At 41.7% G+C, this 20,016-nt stretch overlaps 1 protein-coding gene across 4 annotated transcripts in view; it reads right to left on the reverse strand.

Annotated features, from left to right (window-relative positions):
• Positions 1–2,607: 2,607 nt before the first annotated feature.
• Positions 2,608–20,016, reverse strand: part of EVA1A (eva-1 homolog A, regulator of programmed cell death) — a 77,402-nt gene continuing 59,993 nt past the window's right edge. For all 4 annotated transcript variants that reach the window (NM_032181.3, NM_001369524.1, NM_001135032.2 and 1 more), the window contains one exon: positions 2,608–3,899. In NM_032181.3, coding sequence (NP_115557.1) covers positions 3,526–3,899 — 374 coding nt within the window. In that variant the 3' untranslated portion in view covers positions 2,608–3,525. The remainder of the gene's footprint in view (positions 3,900–20,016) is intronic.

Consider the following 20,016-nt stretch of genomic DNA (forward strand, 5'->3'; position numbering starts at 1 on the left):
AAGTGGGAAAATAAACTTAGAGGCATAAAAATACCATCAATTTACTGTGTTCATGGATTCTGTGAACTAAGAAGTTGGACAGGGCTCAACAGAGGTGATTTATCTCTATCCGTCAATGTCTAAGGCTTTAGTTGGAAAGAGTCATATGCCTGGGGGCTGGAATAACTTGGAGATTTATTCACTCACTGCTGGGGCATTGGTGGAGAGGACTGAAAGGCTGGCTTTGTCACTATCAAATGTCTAGCAGCATTCCTAGCCTCTAGCTACTAGACACAAATAGCATCCCACCCACCCAGCAGTAACAACCAAAATGTCTCCCTGACACTGCCAAATTTATCCTGTGGGACAACTGTCTCCTGTGGTTAAGGTCAGTGGGCTGTATGTGTCTGAAACTTCGTCAGGACTGGAAAGAGATTTTTCAAGTCATCAGTGCGTAGGTGATCTTTAGAGTCACTGCAATATATGAGATATCCCAGGATGTAGGGTGAGAAGATCAGCTCTTCAAGGTTAGAAGGATGGACCCATATTGAAGGGGTTGAGGAAAAGAAGATAAAGCATTAAGAAAACGAAAATAGAAAAACCAAGAGAGAGAGAGTAGGAAAACCAAGAAAGACAGAAAAGAGTGGTGCAGTGGCTACTGCGAGTGCCTGCCTAGCATCTTATCTCCACTTTCTTCTTAAAGAAGCTCAGTCTCTTGCCCACAATGACCGGTGATTTCATCCATGGACCTACACAAGCCAGACCATAAAGTCCTTCCTGTGATTTCATATTTTAAGCCACAGAGCAAGGTGTTTCTTTTCTCTTCTGTCCTTATTGAAACTATGTTATTTCCAAAGTCCCTTTGGTGTGCTCCCTGCCACAAGGCAAAGGTTCAGCTGAGTGCATTTAGAGATGCCATGAGTTGAAAATGACCACCTGTCCCTTGCAGCTCAGGAAGAGGCTCTTAAGGGAAGTTGGTGGGAGCACTAATGCCTGAAGAGGATTTCTTGGACTCCTAAGTCATCTTTACTTCGTAAAGTTATCTCAGAATTTTGTCAGCTAGTGCTTCTCTGTGAAACTTCCAAAGACCAGGAAACCGGCACCAAAAGCATCCCTTCCACATTGTGTCTTGCTTCTGACTTCTGAGCTAAACGAGCCATGAACCTGTGCCAAATATGCACATACATAGTCCGTGAGCTGTGTGGGGGCTTGATCAGAAGCAAGCACCCCAATACACTATATTGTACAAGTGTGTTACAGTTTCATCTGCAGTAGAAGACAATGAAACCAGCAGCAGAAGGAAGCAAAGTGGAGAGCTGAGAAAGACCAACTTTTTGGTAGCATTTAAGATCCTGGATCCAGTCATCTCTGAAGCCTCAGATCCAGCCGTGACCTTCCAGTTGTGTGAATCAATAAATGCTCTTAAGTGGAATATCTTTCTGTTGCAAATGCAAATGTTCTAATACAGAAACTAAAACCAGCTGTGAAGTGATAAACCTAAAATGTGGAATTGGTTGAATCAAGATAAGGAAGGTTGAAAATCTGTATTCCTTGTTATATGAAAGTGAAGCAGCTGCTACCTAGTGTATTTTATGCCTCAGGCAATGTCCCCACCACCATAATTACAAGAACATTATGGACTTGGTCAAAAGGATATGGGAGTGAGAACTGAGACAGGCATCTGCCCTGGAGCCCTCCCAAACACCTCTGCTACTGCAGTCCCTGCCCAATAAGGCTCATAATCCCACCCCATAATCAGCTTTGATGCTCCCTGGTGATGGAAATCAGCTCCCGATTGTTCCATTTTTCTAAGAGGTGGAGACAAGGATAGATGACGTTAATCTAAAGCCCGGGGGAATCAGATGATTCCTGCAATTGTTGCTAAGGGACTGAAACCACAAGGGCAAGGAGCTAGATTCAGAGATGCTGACTCAGCAAGATTTTGGCACTTGTAACTAGCCAGCCAATGTTGCTAGCCACCCAAAATTATATAATCAGGCCAGCGACTGAGTGTTGCAAGTGAACTTTATTGCCCCCTTGGCAAGCAAAGATTATGATTATGATTGTTCAGTTCTTAACAGAGCCCTCCAAGAGTCCTTACAACAAAAAGTGGGTTGCTAAAGCAGTGGAGACCTCACCAGAGGAAGTCTCCTGACCATCCTCTTAAGCATGGTGACAAAGTCAATGAACAGGGGAGAGCCTCCCAGCAGGAAGGCCCTGGAGCACCCAGATAGACTGACTAGGAATCTACTCCATGACAAGAGAAGGGAGTCAACAGAGAGACAGGTCTCACTCTTCCTGTTTACCAGCTTAGGGGATGTTTTGTCCTCTGTAACCTATTTCTAAATTGGCAGAGCCTGGCTTCTCCTCCTTCCCTACCAACTTCTTTTCATATAAGGGCTACCATCTTATTTCTAGCTTTAGGGAAGTCTTCTATTCCTCTATCTGCTTAACAACTCAACTATAGCAATCATACATATAACCTACAGAAAGTGAAAAGCCCATTATCACACGGGAACCATCTCCCCACTCTAATCCTTGAGGGGCCTGGCAAAAGCCCATACCCACGTATATAAAAGGGTTGTCATTTAAGGTAAGGGTAACCACAGAGACGGACATGCAACCAAAAAGATTTTATGTAATGTTTATTTTTTTAATTCCCATCCTAACTTTGGCTTTAATCCTTACCTCTCATTTCCATTCTTTTCTTTGAAATCCAATTAAAAAAAAAAAAAAAAACAAAGTGTTTAAAATCACAATTATCTAGAGTCATAATAAAATTTTCTTGTCTCCAAAGAGGGGGAAAACACACCACTTTTATTTTTATGCAGCATTTTCAAATATGCATGTCAATATATATTTTATAAACTATTTAAAATAAAAACCCTTCATCCTTTGAGGTTATTGACATTTTCTAGTTCACTGACACATCTCCCATAATACAATAGTTCTATTCATTTTCATGAATGAGGTGGGAACTACACTAAAAAGTAGGATTTTAATCCCTGAGGTGCCAGTTAAAATGGACGAGGTTGCCCTTGCAACACAAGATTTTAAAAATCAGCCTTAAATAATAAGCATGGATCATGCTATTTGAATCAGAATCACCTCCATAGCATGAAGTCATTTAGGAAATTGCATTTATTGGGTTAAGTTCACCCTGCTATTCCCAGCCCTCATGCTATAATGATCTTTCCTTTTGCAAAGGAATAACACAGAGCAAGGAAGTCTGCTGAAACTTCTGAGATCCTCAGAAATCAAGAGAAACCACAGTCGCGTTTCTCCGATCTCCATCCACAGTGTTGGAGAGGATTTTTCAGCACCATTCCGAGACCTGGAAAGGGTGATGAACTGCTTTGATTTTTCTACTTCTCCATACATTTGGCCAAAAAGGAGCAATCCTCCTGGCTAGAAAAGGGGCATGTCCTGCTTTTTCTCTGAAATCACAATATTAGCAGAGCTGGGTTCAGTTCCTTGTGCCCACTGTCCCTGCAGACGCTCTCCTTTCCAGGCGGCCTCCAGTGGTTTCCGGGGTCCTGCTGCTCCCTAATAGTAGCGATTCAGGCTCCTGGTCCCGGGCACCTCAGGCTGGCCATTCATCCAGATCTCCCTGATGATGCGCTCGCGCTCCTCCAGCCGCTGGGCGCGCTCCAGCTCCTCCGCAGAGGTGAACACATTCTTGTTCAAAGTCCTCTCGAAGCGGCGGTGTCTCCGCACGGAGAGATCGGACACGGTGTCCTCACTGCCATCCTCGCTGTCGCTGCTGTCGCTGCTGCTCTCTCTGTCCTGCAGGAACTTCTTCCCGGGACGCCGCCTGCAGTCTGTGTGGCAAGAGATCCTTATCACCAGAGCAGCCAGGGTCAGCACCAGCCCGATGCACACGCCAGAAACAAAGTACAGAGCTGCTCGCTCAGGATTTTCTGGAGGAAGAAGAGGAAGAAGCAAGCATTTGAGAGATGACAACTCCATATGCAGAGATCCAATATGACTCCAGCCTACACTTCTCACCAGGCCCCAAAGTTTTGATGGTTACAAATATTGTCCTCCAATGTGACATATTTTATAATGTATTCAAAATATAATTATTGACAAACGGTGAATCTGTGAAAGGTATATGAAATTCTTTCACTCTTCTTGCAACTTTAACTTAGAGATTATTCCCAAATGAAAAGGTAAAAGAAAGAAAAACAGTAATTATTTAGCACCTACTGTACGCAAGCAGCCGTGCTTAGGTGTCATTTGTTTAAGAGATGTATCTATCTAAAGCCTCTTTTCACCTAGGCCAAAACAGCTTTACTTGAGAATTTGCTCATACACCCCCACTGAATTACCCTTTCATCACAGTGGTAGACAGCTTCTGAGATGAACCCCATCTCCTAGTATTCACACGCTTGTGCAATCCTCTCCCCTCAAGTGGTGGACCTAGTGACTTCTAAGAAATACAGTTGACCCTTGGACAACATGGGTTTGAACAGCACAGGACACCTATACATGGATTTTGTTCAAACAAACATGTAGATCGAAAATACATTATTTGCGAGATGAGAAATCCACATATAAGGAGTGTCAGCTTTTCAAATATGTGGCTTCTGCAGGGTCATCTGCAGAACTTAAGTATGCATGCACGGACTGGGGTAAACACAGGGATGCTGGAACCAATGCCCTGCGTATACCGAGGGACGACTGTAGGATATGGCAAAAGCAATGGGTGATTCTAAGATTAGGTTACATAAGACTGTGATTTTGTCTTGTTCTCTTACTCTCTCCTTCTCTGGGGCTCTTCTTACTTGCTGGTTCTGATGAAGCCAGCTGCCATGTGTGAGCTGCCTTATGGGGAAGTCCAAGTGGCAAGGAACTAAGGGTGGCCTTTGGCCAACACCCTTTGAGGAATGGTGCCAACAGCCATGTGAATGAGCTTGGTTGTGAATCATCCCTCCATCTAGTCTTGAGGGGACCACAGTCCTGGCCTTGCAGTGGCCTGTGAGAAACCTTGAACCAAGGAACCCAGCTAAGCCACACCCAGATTTCTGACCTGTAGAAACTGGGAGATAATAAATGTGTGTTTTCAGCCACTAAGTTTTGGGGTAGTTTTGTAAAAAGCAATAGTTGCAATCAGTCACACATTGAAAGCCAGTATAGGTATTTAGGAGTGGCCTCAGCAGGTTAACTGAAAGGGGAGGAGAAATTAGAGCTCTTTCCTTGGTGAGAGAAGATAACAGTCATTCTGTTAATGATCAGTATGCTTAGGGGGCCTAGTTGTGACCCCTGTAAGATGTGCTTAACAGAATGGGAGTCTTTGAGTGAACAGTTTTCATTCTAGGTACCTACGAGGACAAAGGAACAGGCCTGGCCTTGAGTACACCGTACCCAATGTATGGTCTTTTATCCCTCACCCCCCTCCCACCAATTTCCCCTGAGTCCCCACAGTCTATTATATCATTCTTATGCCTTTGTGTATATTTGGACAATTTTTGTAGGTTCTGGAAATTCAAAGACTTAAATAAGATTCAGTTCTTGTTCTCAGAATGCACCTAGTCTACTGGGGAGACAGACGAAAGCAATGGACAGAAAATAAAACAATGGGCTGTTAATGATGGAAGCACATTGTGGGGGCAACCAGCCCTAGGAGAGAGGGAGTCATGGGGCATTTTGTGAGCATGAGGATGAGATGGAGACACTTCGACCAAATGCTAGGACGATTAGGTAAATTCAAGCCTACTGAAGACCACAGTGTTCTCCCTTATATGGCAAGTCAACACTAACCTACATGCTGGTCTAGTGGCTTGTTCCAGGTCACGCTCACAAAGGTAATGGCATTAAGTTGTGTTTTCTATTTCTGTGTGCTACTTATTAGGATTCTTTTCAATTCAAATACAAAAACTTCATTTTGTCTCACCCTGGTTTCAGATTGTTAAAATTTTTTATAATCTTGATGTTGTCATCCAAATTAATTTCTCTGACTATACATTGGGTAGAGTGTACACTGCTCTGGTGATGGGTACACTAAAATCTCAGAAATCACCACTGAAGAACTTATCCATGTAACCACAAACCACCTGTACCCCCAAAACTATTGAAATAAAAAGAAAATTAAAAAATATTGTCCAAATATGTTCCTAAAATTTCATGAAATCCATTACATCATCAGCCTCAATCTTTAAAATAGCCCACTTACTTCTTTTTCTTCTCCTCCTTTCCTCCTTTGTTGGTTGTCTTTTATGAAATAAAAGGCAGAAGCAAAAAGAGGTACTGTTACATCCCTAGGCCACATGACAAGGTAGAAAGGCCCAGGCAAACAAACCCAAGTCTATCCAGTTTCAAAGCCTATTCCCTTCTCATCATTTCCTGGTGCTTCTACAGCATCAGTGTCAATGCTGAGGTGTCATATATTACACAAGGCTGTTGGGAGGATCAGTGTAGATAATGCAAGTGAAAGTGCTTGGTAAACGTTCCTTTCTGGGTAAACAAAAGGTGGTCTTGTAAGATCTAGCTAGAGCAATTAGGCAAGAGAAAAAAAACAAAAGGCATCCACATAGCAAGAGAGGAAGTCAAACTATCACTTTTCGCAGACAATATGATTCTATACCCAGAAAACCCTAAAAACTCTGCCAAAAGGCTCCTCAAACAGATAATTGACTTCAGTAAAGTTTCAGGATGCAAAATCAATACAAAAATCAGTAGGATTTCTATGCACCAACAATGTCCAAGCTGAGAGCCAAATCAAAAGGTAATTTCATTTACAATTGCCACAAAAATAATAAAATACCTAAAAAATAGCTACCCAAGGAGGTGAAGGATCTCTACAACAAGAATTACAAAACACTGCTGAAAGAAATTAGAAATGTCACAAACAAATAGAAAAATACTCCATGCTCATGGATTGGAAGAATCAACATTGTTAAAATGGCCATACTGCCCAAAGCAATTTACAGATTCAATGCTATTCCTATCAAAGTACCAACATCATTTTTCACAGAATTAGAAAAAAAAATGATTCTAAAACTCATATGGAACCAAAAGAGCGTTCAAATAGCCAAAGCAATCCTAAGGTGGGAAGAAAAGAAAAGCCAGAGGCATCACATTACCCAACTTCAAGTTATATTATAAGGCTACAGTAAGCAAACAGTATGGTAGTGGTACAAAAACCAACACATAGACCAATGGAACAGGATAAAGAACCCAGAAATAAAGCTGCACACCTATAGCCATCTGATCTTTGACAAAGTCAACAATAACAGCAAAGGGGAAAAGATTCTCTATTTAATAAATGATTCTAGGATAACTGGCTAGCTATATGCAGAAGATTGAACCTGGACTCCTTCTTTTTACCTTATACAAAAATTAACTCAAGAGGGATTAAAGACTTAAGTGTAAGACCTAAAACTATAAAATCCCTAGAAGAAAACCTAGGAAATACCATTCTGGACACTGGCTTTGGCAAAGAATTTATGACCAAGTCTCCAAATGCAATTGTGACAAAAAGAAAAATGGACAAGTAGGATCTAATTAAACTAAAGAGCCTCTTCACAGCAAAATAAACTATCAACAGAGTAAACAGACAACCTACAGAATGGGAGAAAATATTCCTAAATTATGCATCTGACAAAGTCCTAATATCTAGAATCTATTTTAAAAAAATTGAGTAAGCAAAAAATAACTCTATTACAAATGAGCACAGGACATGAAAAGACACTTTGCAAAGAAGACATACATTCAGCCAACAAATATGTGAAAAAATGCTCAGCATCACTAATCGTCAGAGAAATCATGATCAAAATCAAAACCACGACGAGATACCATCTCGCGCCAGTCAGAATGGCCATTATTAAAAGTAAAAAAATACCATGTTGACAAAGTTGTGCATAAAAGGGAACACCAGGCTGGGCATGGTAGCTCACACTTATAATCTCAACACTTTGGGAGGCTGAGGCAGGCAGATCACTTGAGTTCAGGAAGCTTGAGACAAGCCTGGGCAACATGGTGGAAAACCCATCATTAAAAAAACACAAAAATTAATCAGGCATGCTGGTGCACACCTGTAGTCCCAGCTACTTCTGGGGCTGAGGCAGGAGGATCGCTTGAGCCAGGGAAGTAGAGGCTACAGTGAGCTGAGATTGTACCACTGTACTCCAGTCTGGGTGACAAAGTGAGATCCTGTCTCAAAAAAAAAAAAAAAAAAAAAAAGTGGAATATAAATTAGTTCAGCCCCTGTGGAAAGCAGCATGGAGATTTCTCAAAGAACTTAAAAAAGAACTATGATTTGACCCAGCAATCCCACTACTGGGTGTATATCTAAAGGAAAATAAATCTTTCTACAAAAAAGATACCTGTACTTGTATGTTTACTGTAGCACTAGCACTATTCACAATAGCAAAAACATGGAATCAACCTAGGTGCCCATCAAGAGAGGATTGGATAAAGGAAATGTGGTACATATGCACCATGGAATACTAAGCAGCCATAAAAGGAATAAAATCATGTCTTTTGCAGCAACATGGATGCAGCTGAAGGCCATTATCTTAAGCAAATTCACACAGGAATAGAAAATCAAATACTGCATGTTGTCACTTATAAGTGGGAGCTAAAAGCTGGGTAAACGTGGACATAAAGAAGGGAACAATAGACATTAGGGACTATTAGAGGGGGAGGGTGGGGTGGGGGAATGGGTTGGAAAACTACCTATCAGGTACTACGCTCACCACCTAAGTGATGGGATCATTCGTACACCAAACCTCAGTGACATGCAATTTACCCATGTAACAAAACTGCACGGGTACCCCCAAAACTAAAATAAAAGTAAAAAAAACCCCAAAAAACAGAAACAAAAAACTAATAAGGGAGGGATATGAGAACCTTCTGCACTACCTCTTCAATTTTTATGTTGATTCAAAACAGCTGTATATAATGTGTATTAATTTTTTTAAATCTAGCAACACTGTTTCAGGAAAAGATCTGTTTTAGATATTATTTAACAATTAGCTTAATGTCTCACCATTAGATTGAGATGCTGTTCACTTTTAAAAGTGAACTACATGTTGTCAATGTATCTGTACATCTCTAGTTGTAGCACTACTGAGTGACTTAATACATTTAAATTTGCACCACACACACCTTTTTTTTTTTTTTTAAAAAGATGGTCTTCTCAGACTCATTTGCTTACAAATAGCATATTCCTACGCCAGATGCTATGGGATCACATCAAAGGCCTCACCTTTATCTTTAGATTTATATTTTCCCAGAGGAAATAATGACCAGAACAGCCCATGAACTCCACACCAATCTGCATTTATTTGTGATTTGCTCATGTCTGCCTGATTATAATTAACATGCACAATGTGTATAAAAACATGCTATCTGATGACAGGCTGGAATGGGCCTGAGTCTTATCTAGATTCTAGATCAACTTAGAAAATTCTTAAGCCCTCAGATAGAGAGAACATGTCTTGGGGCAAATAAAAGCCCTGGACTTGGCCTCCCTGGATTGGGTTAAATCCAATAATTGCCTTTCTTTTGTAAAGTGGGAGGAAGGCACTCTCATTTATTAGTTAAATGACCTTGAGCCAATCACAACCTCACTGGACCTTCAAGACTGATAGGAGAAAAGGACATGCAATAAACATAATTGGAATTGAGCACAACCGAGTGAAATAATGGAAGTGGGCATGAGGCACCACTGGGGCAATCTCAGAGAGTGCAGAATTGGAGAAAAGTCAGTGGGCACAGGAAATGGAAAACCAAAAAGCCATAAAGGGTCAGTCCAGAATGGTCTTCACAAAACCTAGTTCTAGTGATAATAAAAAAGTCAAAATCACTGGGATAAAGCAAAATGAAGCCCATTTGCTGGAGAAATGGGTTCTGCTGTTTATCAAGATAAAATATCTCCCAAGGGTCAGGTCTTGGACCTGTCTACTTTGTCCAGAGTTCCCTAGGAGCCCTTTTCCTCTGAAAGAGACTTGACTCTGCTTCAGAAATCTGCTCCCAATTGCTAACAGAATTGATTTTCTGCCACTAGTTGCATCAGGAAGGAATAAGGTCATTCTACTCAGGGTGACGGCTGGTCAGGGAGCCCAGGTTGCTGCCTCTGCCCACAGACTCATCAGTCCACTGACTATGCCTAAGTCCCTGTTGGTCTAAAAGGGCCTGAGTTTCATCTCACTGCTCGGCCGTACTCGAGATAAGCAGTCTTCACAGTGGGAACATGTGCCTAAGAGGTGAACAGGCATAGCTGGTTTTAAGGAAATCTATTTCTAGACCTTACACAGCCATTTTCTTTGTTCTTTCCTATATTGGATCCGCCTGAGAAGGTGCCTGTGGTGGAAGGCACAGTCTTACCTGTTCTACACCACCCATTGCTTCCCCCATTTCGCTAAAGTCAAACCCTTCCCCCACCCCACATCCCATCTTACTATGGTGCACTGCCCGGAGTGCAAAAATGGCCACCAAGCAAAATAACTGTTCCAAATATTGAAAAATTGATGTCAATGACAGGAGGCAAAAGCCCCTAATAACTGGTAACACATTCTTTTCCAAGTAAGTTTCCAATTCTTGGTTTTCAACAAAACTGAAGGAAGGCCTAATCATGTTGTCAGCTGATAAATCAAAATAACTTTTGATGACGGATCACTCTGATTTTTGGCATACGATGAAAACTTAATTCAAAGACTGGAGTGACTTAATTATAACAAAACTTCTTTTGTTTTTGTCTACATGTTTATGTGAACAAAGTTTCCCAACACCCGTAGCTATACAAATAAAAATCAGAAATAGAACTGTCACTGAATCATGCCTCCTTCTGGCAATAAGTGATATTTATTCATGAGTACCTAAATACATAAACAAATTGAGGGGAAAGGAGGAAATTCATCCATCTCTTTAAGAGATACATTTCCTGTAAATTTTAATTTTTATGTTTAAAAACTCCCATGTACCTTCCAACTTCATACAGAATGTACCTCACATCGATCTCATTCTCTTTTATCTCAAACAGCAAGTTCTCTCTCTTACCTCTCTCTCTATCCCTTTCTTTCCCTCTCTCCCTTCCTCCCTCCCTCCCTCCCCTTTTCAACCTTCCCCTTTCTGCCTGAGGCTCCCTTCAGTCATTATGCCCAATGCCCAGAGTCATTTTTTGACTCACTCTTTGGCTTCTTGCCATAAATTAATTAATCTCAGCCATTCTCATGTCCCTTCCATCTCTTTCCCACTCACTGCCATTTCCCCGCACCTGCAGCTTTCTAACTCTGGATTCCACTTCCTTCCACCTTCAATTAATTTTGCACATGGCTGTCAAGGCAACATTTTAAGATCTGACTCCTATTATTTACCTTATTACTTTTACAAAAAAAAAAAAAAGAGGGCACTCAAGGCTGTCAGAAATCTGGTTCCAATCTCCCTTTCAATCATATCCCCCCAAACTCTTCCACAGGAGCCTTTAGTCCAGACAAGCCAAAGACTTCATTGTCCACTCTTGACCCACAAACACACCCTCCTCTTCATGTTCATCCCTGACTCCTCTGCTGGAATGCCAGAGTGTGGGCCCCTTAGTGAATTTTTTCCAATAGATAATTAACCTTCAATAAAACTGAGTCTTTCTTACATTGATGTAGTGCTCAAGTGACATGCCTTGAACTTCGCAAATGTTTAATTCCTTCTTTTGTTAGTATGAAACATTCTAAAGGAATTTTCTTAGAGTTCTATTAAAGATCACTTTATTATGAGTATGAAATAAAAATTCTACATATTGTGGAAATTCTCCCCTTAGGAAAAGAAGAATTTAAAGTAATCCTTCACACACTTTGGTTTAGGAGGTATGGCTTTGAGTATATAAATTAGAAATGAGTTTGTACTGCTTAGTATGCCCTGGCAACAAAAAAGGTTTTGATTTCTGGCCTTACTTTGGCTTTGCCTCCTTAATCAAGCAAAAGAAATTGAGCCAATTATAGTTATGCCACAGCTTTTCTGAGCTAGAATGAAATGAGCCAAAGAGAGGGACTGGCCCACTTCTGCTATAATGCCCTTGAAGGAGCCGCATAATGGGAAGCTGGCTCTGCTCTCATGGATAGAGGAAAGGACCCTGTAGGCAGAGTAAGTGGGAATCAGCAGGCGAGCTCCCGTGATTGGCACTGTACATCCATTTTCTGAGGATGATCCTTCAGACCAAAGTCTTGTCCTCTGTCTCCTACACCATGAAGCCTTGAAGAGAACCTGCCTAGGTTCAGAAGGAGCCATGATTCAGAAGGAGATACCAATACTGCATCTTCCCTCAGTCCCCTCAACCCAAGGAAGACAATTCCCCAACCAAGAGAAAATCTGTCTGGATCCCAGAGTGAGAGAAAGATGACACGACAGAGAAACAGTACATCAGTTACACTTGCTTTATTGCCCAACTCATGCAATAACTCAACCTCTCTTGTGTTAGTAGAAGTGTGTAGCATTAAAAGAACTTAATTTAACCAATCCATGTTAGTAGGTTAGAAATAAATTTGGGATAGGCTGTCTTTTAAAGCCTCTAGATAGCTTATGTATCCACTAAGGCAGCAAACATAACCCTGTCCTCCCTGGAGTATGAATCTGGAGCTCCATAAATCTATCTCCATTTCTTAGAGACTCCTATGTTCCCTACAAGGGTTTTCAGACCATGAAGGTTTCTAACATAATAACAATGGCCACATAATCCAGTGAAATAAAAGTCAAAACCTACAAATGCTGAACAGACATAGCAGAGCTTGAGCTATACTCCTTCTACTTCCCAGGCCCTTGACAAGTGGCATCTCTACATGCACCCTTTTACCTATTCTGCAATCTAAGAATGCTTAAAAATATTAGGGTATATACAGATATACATATTGCATACATGCATGCACAAAGAGACATAGATATGCACTCATGGGGAACAAAGGGAGGGATGAGAACAGGAAGGAAGGCAAGAAGGAAAAGAGGGAAAGAGGGAGGAAGACATTAGATAGATGATAGATACATACATACATAGAGTGAGTGAAAGAGCTATCATTCACTGAATGCTTCTCTTTGCCAAGATCTGGAATAATTCCTTTATGCTGATCATCTGTAATACCGTCAGCCATTACCACTGTTCAGCAGGGTAAGTAGTGTTACTCTTGTTTAAAAGTGGAAGCCAAGATGAGGGTGTCAAATGTAATTCTGCCTGATACTCAAAAGTTCATGCTTTGACCAAAATAGAAAACGATATTAAAGGGAGAAAAACAAGTCATTCTAGCTTTCATATACTGCCCTCACCCCACCTATTACATAGGCCTAACTTCAAAGATAGTTTCTGAACTCCATCTTGGAAACCACTGTTCTGCCTCTGTAGCTTAATGAGTCCACCTTGTCCTGCCTCCCAGATCAGAAAACATCCCCTTTTGTCTCTAGCATCCGGATGTGGATTCCTGGACAAGCCCAGTAAGAGCAACCAGACTGGGTAAGGGAATTCACTGGATCCCAAGCTGGTGACTCAGGCCTGATTTTCACAGCTGATACAATTTATGTCATGCCTCTTCATCCTTTTCCCACAAAATTCAAAACTGGAGCTCCAAGGTGATTGTTTTTTCTCTCCTATAATACTTTCTGCTCCAGGTCACTTCCTCTTGGCCAGTGATCCACCCTGGTCTTGACCAGATCCAGACAGCTGTTAATTACCCAGGAAGCAGAGTGGGGAGGGCTATTGTCAGTTGTTTTCCCTTAATAAATAAAAATAAATGTATTGCTGTATCTTGTTTCCTGCAGGGTCATTGTTTTCACGGGCAGGAAGAGGCCCTATGTAGAGGTCCTGAAGCTAATTTCATTTGCACCCTCAGAGGTCAGATCATGCCCAACAGACTCCTTGCAGGATAGGGCAGCAGCAGCCAGCCCAGACCAGGCCAGCTGGTCTCCATGCAAGTGCAACCTTCTCTCTGCCTGGGCTTTCTTCTTGGCTCTGGAGCTTCCAATTCCTTAAGTGAAAAGTAAAAGGCTTTTAAAATTGGTTTTGACAAATATTGCATGTTTTCATTTAAATGTGAGAGCTAAAAAGTTTGATCATATGCAGATGGAAACTGGAAAGACAGATAACAGGCTGGGAAAGGTGAGTGGAGGGTAGGAGGGAGGATGAAGAGAAGCGGGATACACGGTACAAATATACAGTTAGATAGAAGAAATAAATTCAATGTTTGATAACAGAGCAGGGTGACTATAGTTAATAAAAATGTATTGTACTTGGGCAACAGACACCCTAAATGCCCTGACTTGATCACTACACATTATATACATGTAACAAAATTTCACGTGTGCTCCATAAATTTTCATTAATAAAAAACTATCTTAACCCCCCAAAATAATAAAATTTTAAAAAGTGGGCATTAAAGAGAATCACGGGGTTTGTGTGTTGTCAGGGAGTGCTCAGCAAAATCTCTTCTCCAAACTCTTTAGGCACTGTAAGAACATCTCTTGCCAGGCACGGTGGCTCATGCCTGTAAATCCAAGCACTTTGGGAGGTCGAGGTGGGCAGATCATGAGGTCAGGAGTTTGAGACCAGCCTGGCCAACATGGTGAAACCCTGTCTCTACTAAAAATATAAAAATTAGCTGGGCGTGGTGGTGGGTGCCTGTAATCCCAGCTACTAGGGAGGCTGGGGCAGGAGAATCGTTTGAACCCAGGAGGCAGAGGTTGCAGTGAGATGAGATCGCACCATTGCACTCCAGCCTGGGCAACAGGGTAAGACTCTGCCTCAAACAAACAAACAAACAAACAAACAAAATATCTTTATGGCATTCTGCCCCACCCCATTGGAAAGGGAAGACCTCCACTAACATTACTGCCCTCTCTAAAATGCTGGAGGAAGCTTCCTTCCTTTTCCTTCCATCTCTGACTTGTTCTTCTCCAGGAAGGAGTATTGAGAAATCTCTGTTCCTACCTGGCTGGCTCTGATGTGTGCTCCTTTAAATTCACTCATTTCAGTTCATGTCCTTCGCAGGGACATAGATGAAGCTGGAAGCCATCATTCTCAGCAAACTAACACAGGAACAGAAAACCAAACACCACGTGTTCTCACTCATAAGTGGGAGTGGAACAATGAGAACACATGGACACAGGGAGGGGCACACAGGGCTTGTCGGGGGGTGGGGGGCAAGGGGAGGAAGAGCATTAGAACAAATACCTAATGCATGCGGGGCTTGAAACCTAGATAACAGGTTGCTAGGTGCAGAAAACCACCATGGCACATGTATACCTATGTAACAAACCTGCATGTTCTGCACACGTATCCCAGAACTTAGAGTAAAATAAAAAAAGAAAGAATTCACTCATTTCATCCCCTTCCACAGGCAATAGGCAACCCACAAGGAAGCATCCATTGCCCTGCCCCTCCTCCCAATCCACTGGCTCACTTTTCTTCCCCTGCAAGGGAAAGACCTACAATCCCATAGCTGCCCTAGAACTCAACGGACTAGGCAGAAGGCCCTGACACATTATTCCATCCAGCATTACCACTGCTGAAATTGACACTGATGAGGTCAACTTCAAAATTCGAATGCTTTTCTGGGTCCTTGAGTTTGGAAGAAGGGTGTGATTAATTAGCCCCTCCAGTCTGGGCAGCACTTTATGTGGTTGCGCTATAATTAGTTATATAACCATTATCTTTCCCACGTGACAGTGAGGAATCTGAAGGCAGAATCCATATGATTGATTCACTTTCGATTCTCTGGGCATTCAGCACAGTGTGTTGCCTCATGGTGCATATCTCACAATATTCATTGAACTAAATTATGAAGACACCATTTCCAAAAGTTCAGCTAATAAATTTGTTATATGTAAATACATATGTATGTGTACGTATGTGGGTATGCGTATAAATATGTGCCAGTATAACATTAAAAGAGTAGGGAAATTTTGGGAGGCTGAGGCAGGTGAATCACAAGGTCAGGAGTTCAATACCAGCCTGGCCAATATGGTGAAACCCTGTCTCTACTAAAAATACAAAAAAATTTAGCTGGGCATGGTGGTGCACGTCTGTAATCCCAGCTACTCGGGAGGCTGAGGCAGAAGAGTCACTTGAACCTGGAAGGCAGAGGTTGCAGTGAGCCGAGATCGTGCCAATGCACTCCAGCCTGGAAGACAGAGACTCTGTCTCAGAAAAAAAAAAGGGTAGGGAATTTTTTTAATTATAAAATCACCATAATTTCACAACCTGAATATAACTATACAGTGTGTAGTATAGTGAATATTCCTTTGTTCTTTCTCTATCATATAAACATGCACATACTTATTCACATTTACCTGCTTATAGTCAGAGTATATATAGACATGTATATATAATTCATATCTTTTCCTCTGCATATACTGTACATGTACACTTCACATGTACACAGCATATAACACTGTTCAATATTGCTCCATGGTCTCCCTCCATCATGCCTAATAATGGCTACATAGTATTCTTCCCAGTGAAAGTGCCACAGTTTACAAAAACTCCTTCCTGCCTTTGGATATTTAGGTTGTTATGAGGAAATATTTTTGAAAAATAGTAATACAAGAAATATTTTTGTGCTTAATGCTACTTCCTTTTTTGCTTGTTGTTTATTGCCTTGCAATGGATTCTCAGGAAAGGAATCTCTGTGTCAAACAGGATACATACTATTATAGCTCTTGATACACATTGCCAAGTGGGTTTTGAAAAGTGTTACACTAATTTATCTTGCTATCATCTGTGTACAAAAGTACTACTTTCACCAAACCCTCTCTAGTGGAGGATATTCCAACTGTTTAAAAATGTTACAAATTGTGAGCCCCTCCTTAGGGGTGGTACTGGAGGCGTGGGGTCTTGGCATTTCTCAGCCCATGCAGGAAGCTCCCTGATGAGTGTCTGAAACCTTTTGCAGATTAACTTTATGTACTCTGCTGCATGCTTCTGAAACCAGAGTAGGCACAGCCTCAATTCTATGCAGGGAGGATGCACAAAAGCAGAATATCCATGATACATCTTTCTGGAGCAGCAATTTTACTGTGAGATTTGGAAGAAACAAATTTAATTCATTTCCAAGAGAATGTGTAAGAACTATCAAGTCTTAGGACACATGGCCAGGACCAGAAGGTGCCCAGTGAAGTGCTGGGGTGGGGCCCTGCCTCACAACCCTTGGGCCAAATAAGAAGGAAAAGTAGAACCTGGGACTGAGGAAGCCCCAGCAACTCCAGACTCCATAGCCGTTTACCAAGACTCACAGAAAGAACAAAGGCAAAGGCAAGGCAAGAACTGCAGAGGAAGAACCTACCACAGGAGTTTCCTAGGAGACTTCAAGTTGAAGCATCAGCAAAACTGAAAGGCTAATGCCTGTCCACACATCCAAAAGTAGATCTGTCCTGGATCTGTGTTCAACAAGTCAGCCAGCTGTCAAGAAACCTGAGATGTGATTCTTCTACCTGGCAGAGCCTCCCATCAAGACATAAACTGGGCTCCCTCTTACCTTATGGATAACTGACGTGTGGAGGTGGATCTATGGATTAGACTCATGCTGCATTCCAGCACTTTGCCTAGGACCCAACAATCATTGCCAAGATGAAAGTCAACAGGCCTGAAGTTTGCTTTCATGATGTTCTCCAGCCTGTAACCAAGACACTAGTCCTGGCCACTTCTTCAAACCTGATGCAAGGTTGTGCTGATATAAATGCAAACCCAGCTCTATGCCTACCAACCATCTATGTGGCTAGGACTGCAAATTGAGTATTCAGGCCCCAGGCAAGAGGTCTTCCCAGGTTTCCAAGTAGAATTTCTAGAATTTCCAAAGATAATGACTTTGCCCCTTTCAGTGCCCATCTTCCAGAGATAATCAGAGGGGGCCTCTGGAAGCCATTTAGACTCTCCAGCCTCCTCCCTAGTGAAAATGGACTTGGATACAAAGAGGCAACCTACTGACCTCAAAGGCACCAGCCCAGATACTGAGTATAGGGGCCCTCTATGACACACCTCATCTGAGCCACATCAAAGCCCAAACTGTTCCTCAATCTCCACCATCCAGACAGCCCAAAACGGCCCTTCAGAATTGTCTTGAGATGGGACAGGAGACAGTAGAGCTGCAGGTTCAGAATGGCTGCCTCATCCCTCCCTCCTGAAAAGTCTATACCTGCTGATCAGAGCCTCACACCTCAGGGGGCTCAGCCCTCCCAGTAAGTGTTCCCTAAGAGGACCTTTGTTGCGGGAAGTCAGGGACCCTAAACGGAAGGACCAGCTGAAGCCATGGCAGAAGAACATGAATTGTGAAGATTTCATGGACATTTATTAGTTCCCCAAATTAATAATTTTATAATTTCTTATGCCTCTCTTTACTGCAATCTCTAAACATAAATTGTGAAGATTTCATGGACACTTATCACTTCCCCAATCAATACCCTTGTGATTTCCTATGCCTGTCTTTACTTTTATCTCAATCCTGTCAGCTGAGGAGGATGTATGTCACCTCAGGACCCTGTAATAATTGCATTAACTGCACAAATTGTACAGCATGTGTGTTTGAGCAATATGAAATCTGGGCACCTTGAAAAAAGAACAGGATAACAGCAATTGTTCAGGGAATAAGAGAGATAACCTGAAACTCTGACTGCCGGTGAGCCGGGCAGAACAGAGCCATATTTCTCTTCTTTCAAAAGCAAATGGGAGAAATATCGCTGAATTCTTTTTCTCAGCAAGGAACATCCCTGGGAAAGAGAATACATGCCTGGGGGTATGGGTCTATAAACGGCCTGTAGGGGTGAAATAGACCCCAGTCTCCTATAGCACTCCCAGGCTTATTAGGAAAAGGAAAATTCCTGCCTAATAAATTTTTGGTCAGACCGGTTGCTCTCAAAACCCTGTCTCCTGATAAGATGTTATCAATGACAATGGTACCCGAAACTTCATTAGCAATTTTAATTTCGCCCCAGTCCTGTGGTCCTGTGATCTCGCCCTGCCTCCGCTTGCCTTGTGATATTCTATTACCTTGTAAAGTACTTGATGTCTGTGACCCACACCTATTTGCACACTCCCTCCCCTTTTAAAAATCCCTAATAAAAACTTGCTGGTTTTGTGGCTTGGGGGGCATCACAGAACCTACCGACATGTGATGTCTCCCCCGGATGCCCAGCTTTAAAATTTCTCTCTTTTGTACTCTGTCCCTTTATTTCTCAAGCTGGCGGACGCTTAGGGAAAATAGAAAAGAACCTACGTGACTATCGGGGCGGGTTCCCAGATAGACCTTCTGGTCTTTTCCTCCTCTGAGGGGAGGAATGATACCCTCTGTGCCACAAAATATATAACCTCTACTCTCACATGACTTGATTGATTGATGAACTGATGCCCTGAGGAGGAAAGAGATGCAGAGGAGAGCCTGTGTCGTGTCTTGTGAATTCCTGTTTCCCTAGCTGTGATGCCTGTGCAAATCGAGGAACCCAAATAATACTGGGTGGTGGACACACAGACACTGCCTAATAAAATTCAGTAAATTTACCTTGAATTTAAGGGGAACTTATCATATGTCCTATAAAAATTTAAGTTGGTGAATTTTATAAGAAAACTGAGTTAAAATGTATAAGGGCATTAAAATATAATTTTAATAGGAAGCTATGAAAATTATCTGCACTTGCTGTGTAAATGACTGAATTTTGGGTAACTATGTAAGATTATTGATGGGCTTGAAAAGATACCCGCTACTTAATTTTATCAGACATTTACTTTCAAATATTTGCTGTTAACCAGTTAACCAGTTAACCAATACCCTCTCATGTTATTAAAATTTTTTATTTTGAGGGAGCACTTCTATGAAAACAATAGTAAGATTGTTGCTAATTTTGGTTATTAAAATAATAAAATTGTTTGGTTAGTTTATGTTATTGTTAACCAAATGCTCCTATAGATAGCATATTGTACAGTTGTTTTGATCCGTTCTTTCACCCTAGGTCAAATTTCCTTAATTTTATTCATCAAATTGTATTTACTGTAGATAAAAGAAACACTGTAGTTACCATGTGCTCTGCGGATCTGTACTTTGTTAGAAATACAAATTCTCAGTCAAAACTCAC

Source organism: Homo sapiens, chromosome 2, assembly GCF_000001405.40.
Source record: "Homo sapiens chromosome 2, GRCh38.p14 Primary Assembly".
Taxonomy (NCBI): domain Eukaryota; kingdom Metazoa; phylum Chordata; class Mammalia; order Primates; family Hominidae; genus Homo; species Homo sapiens.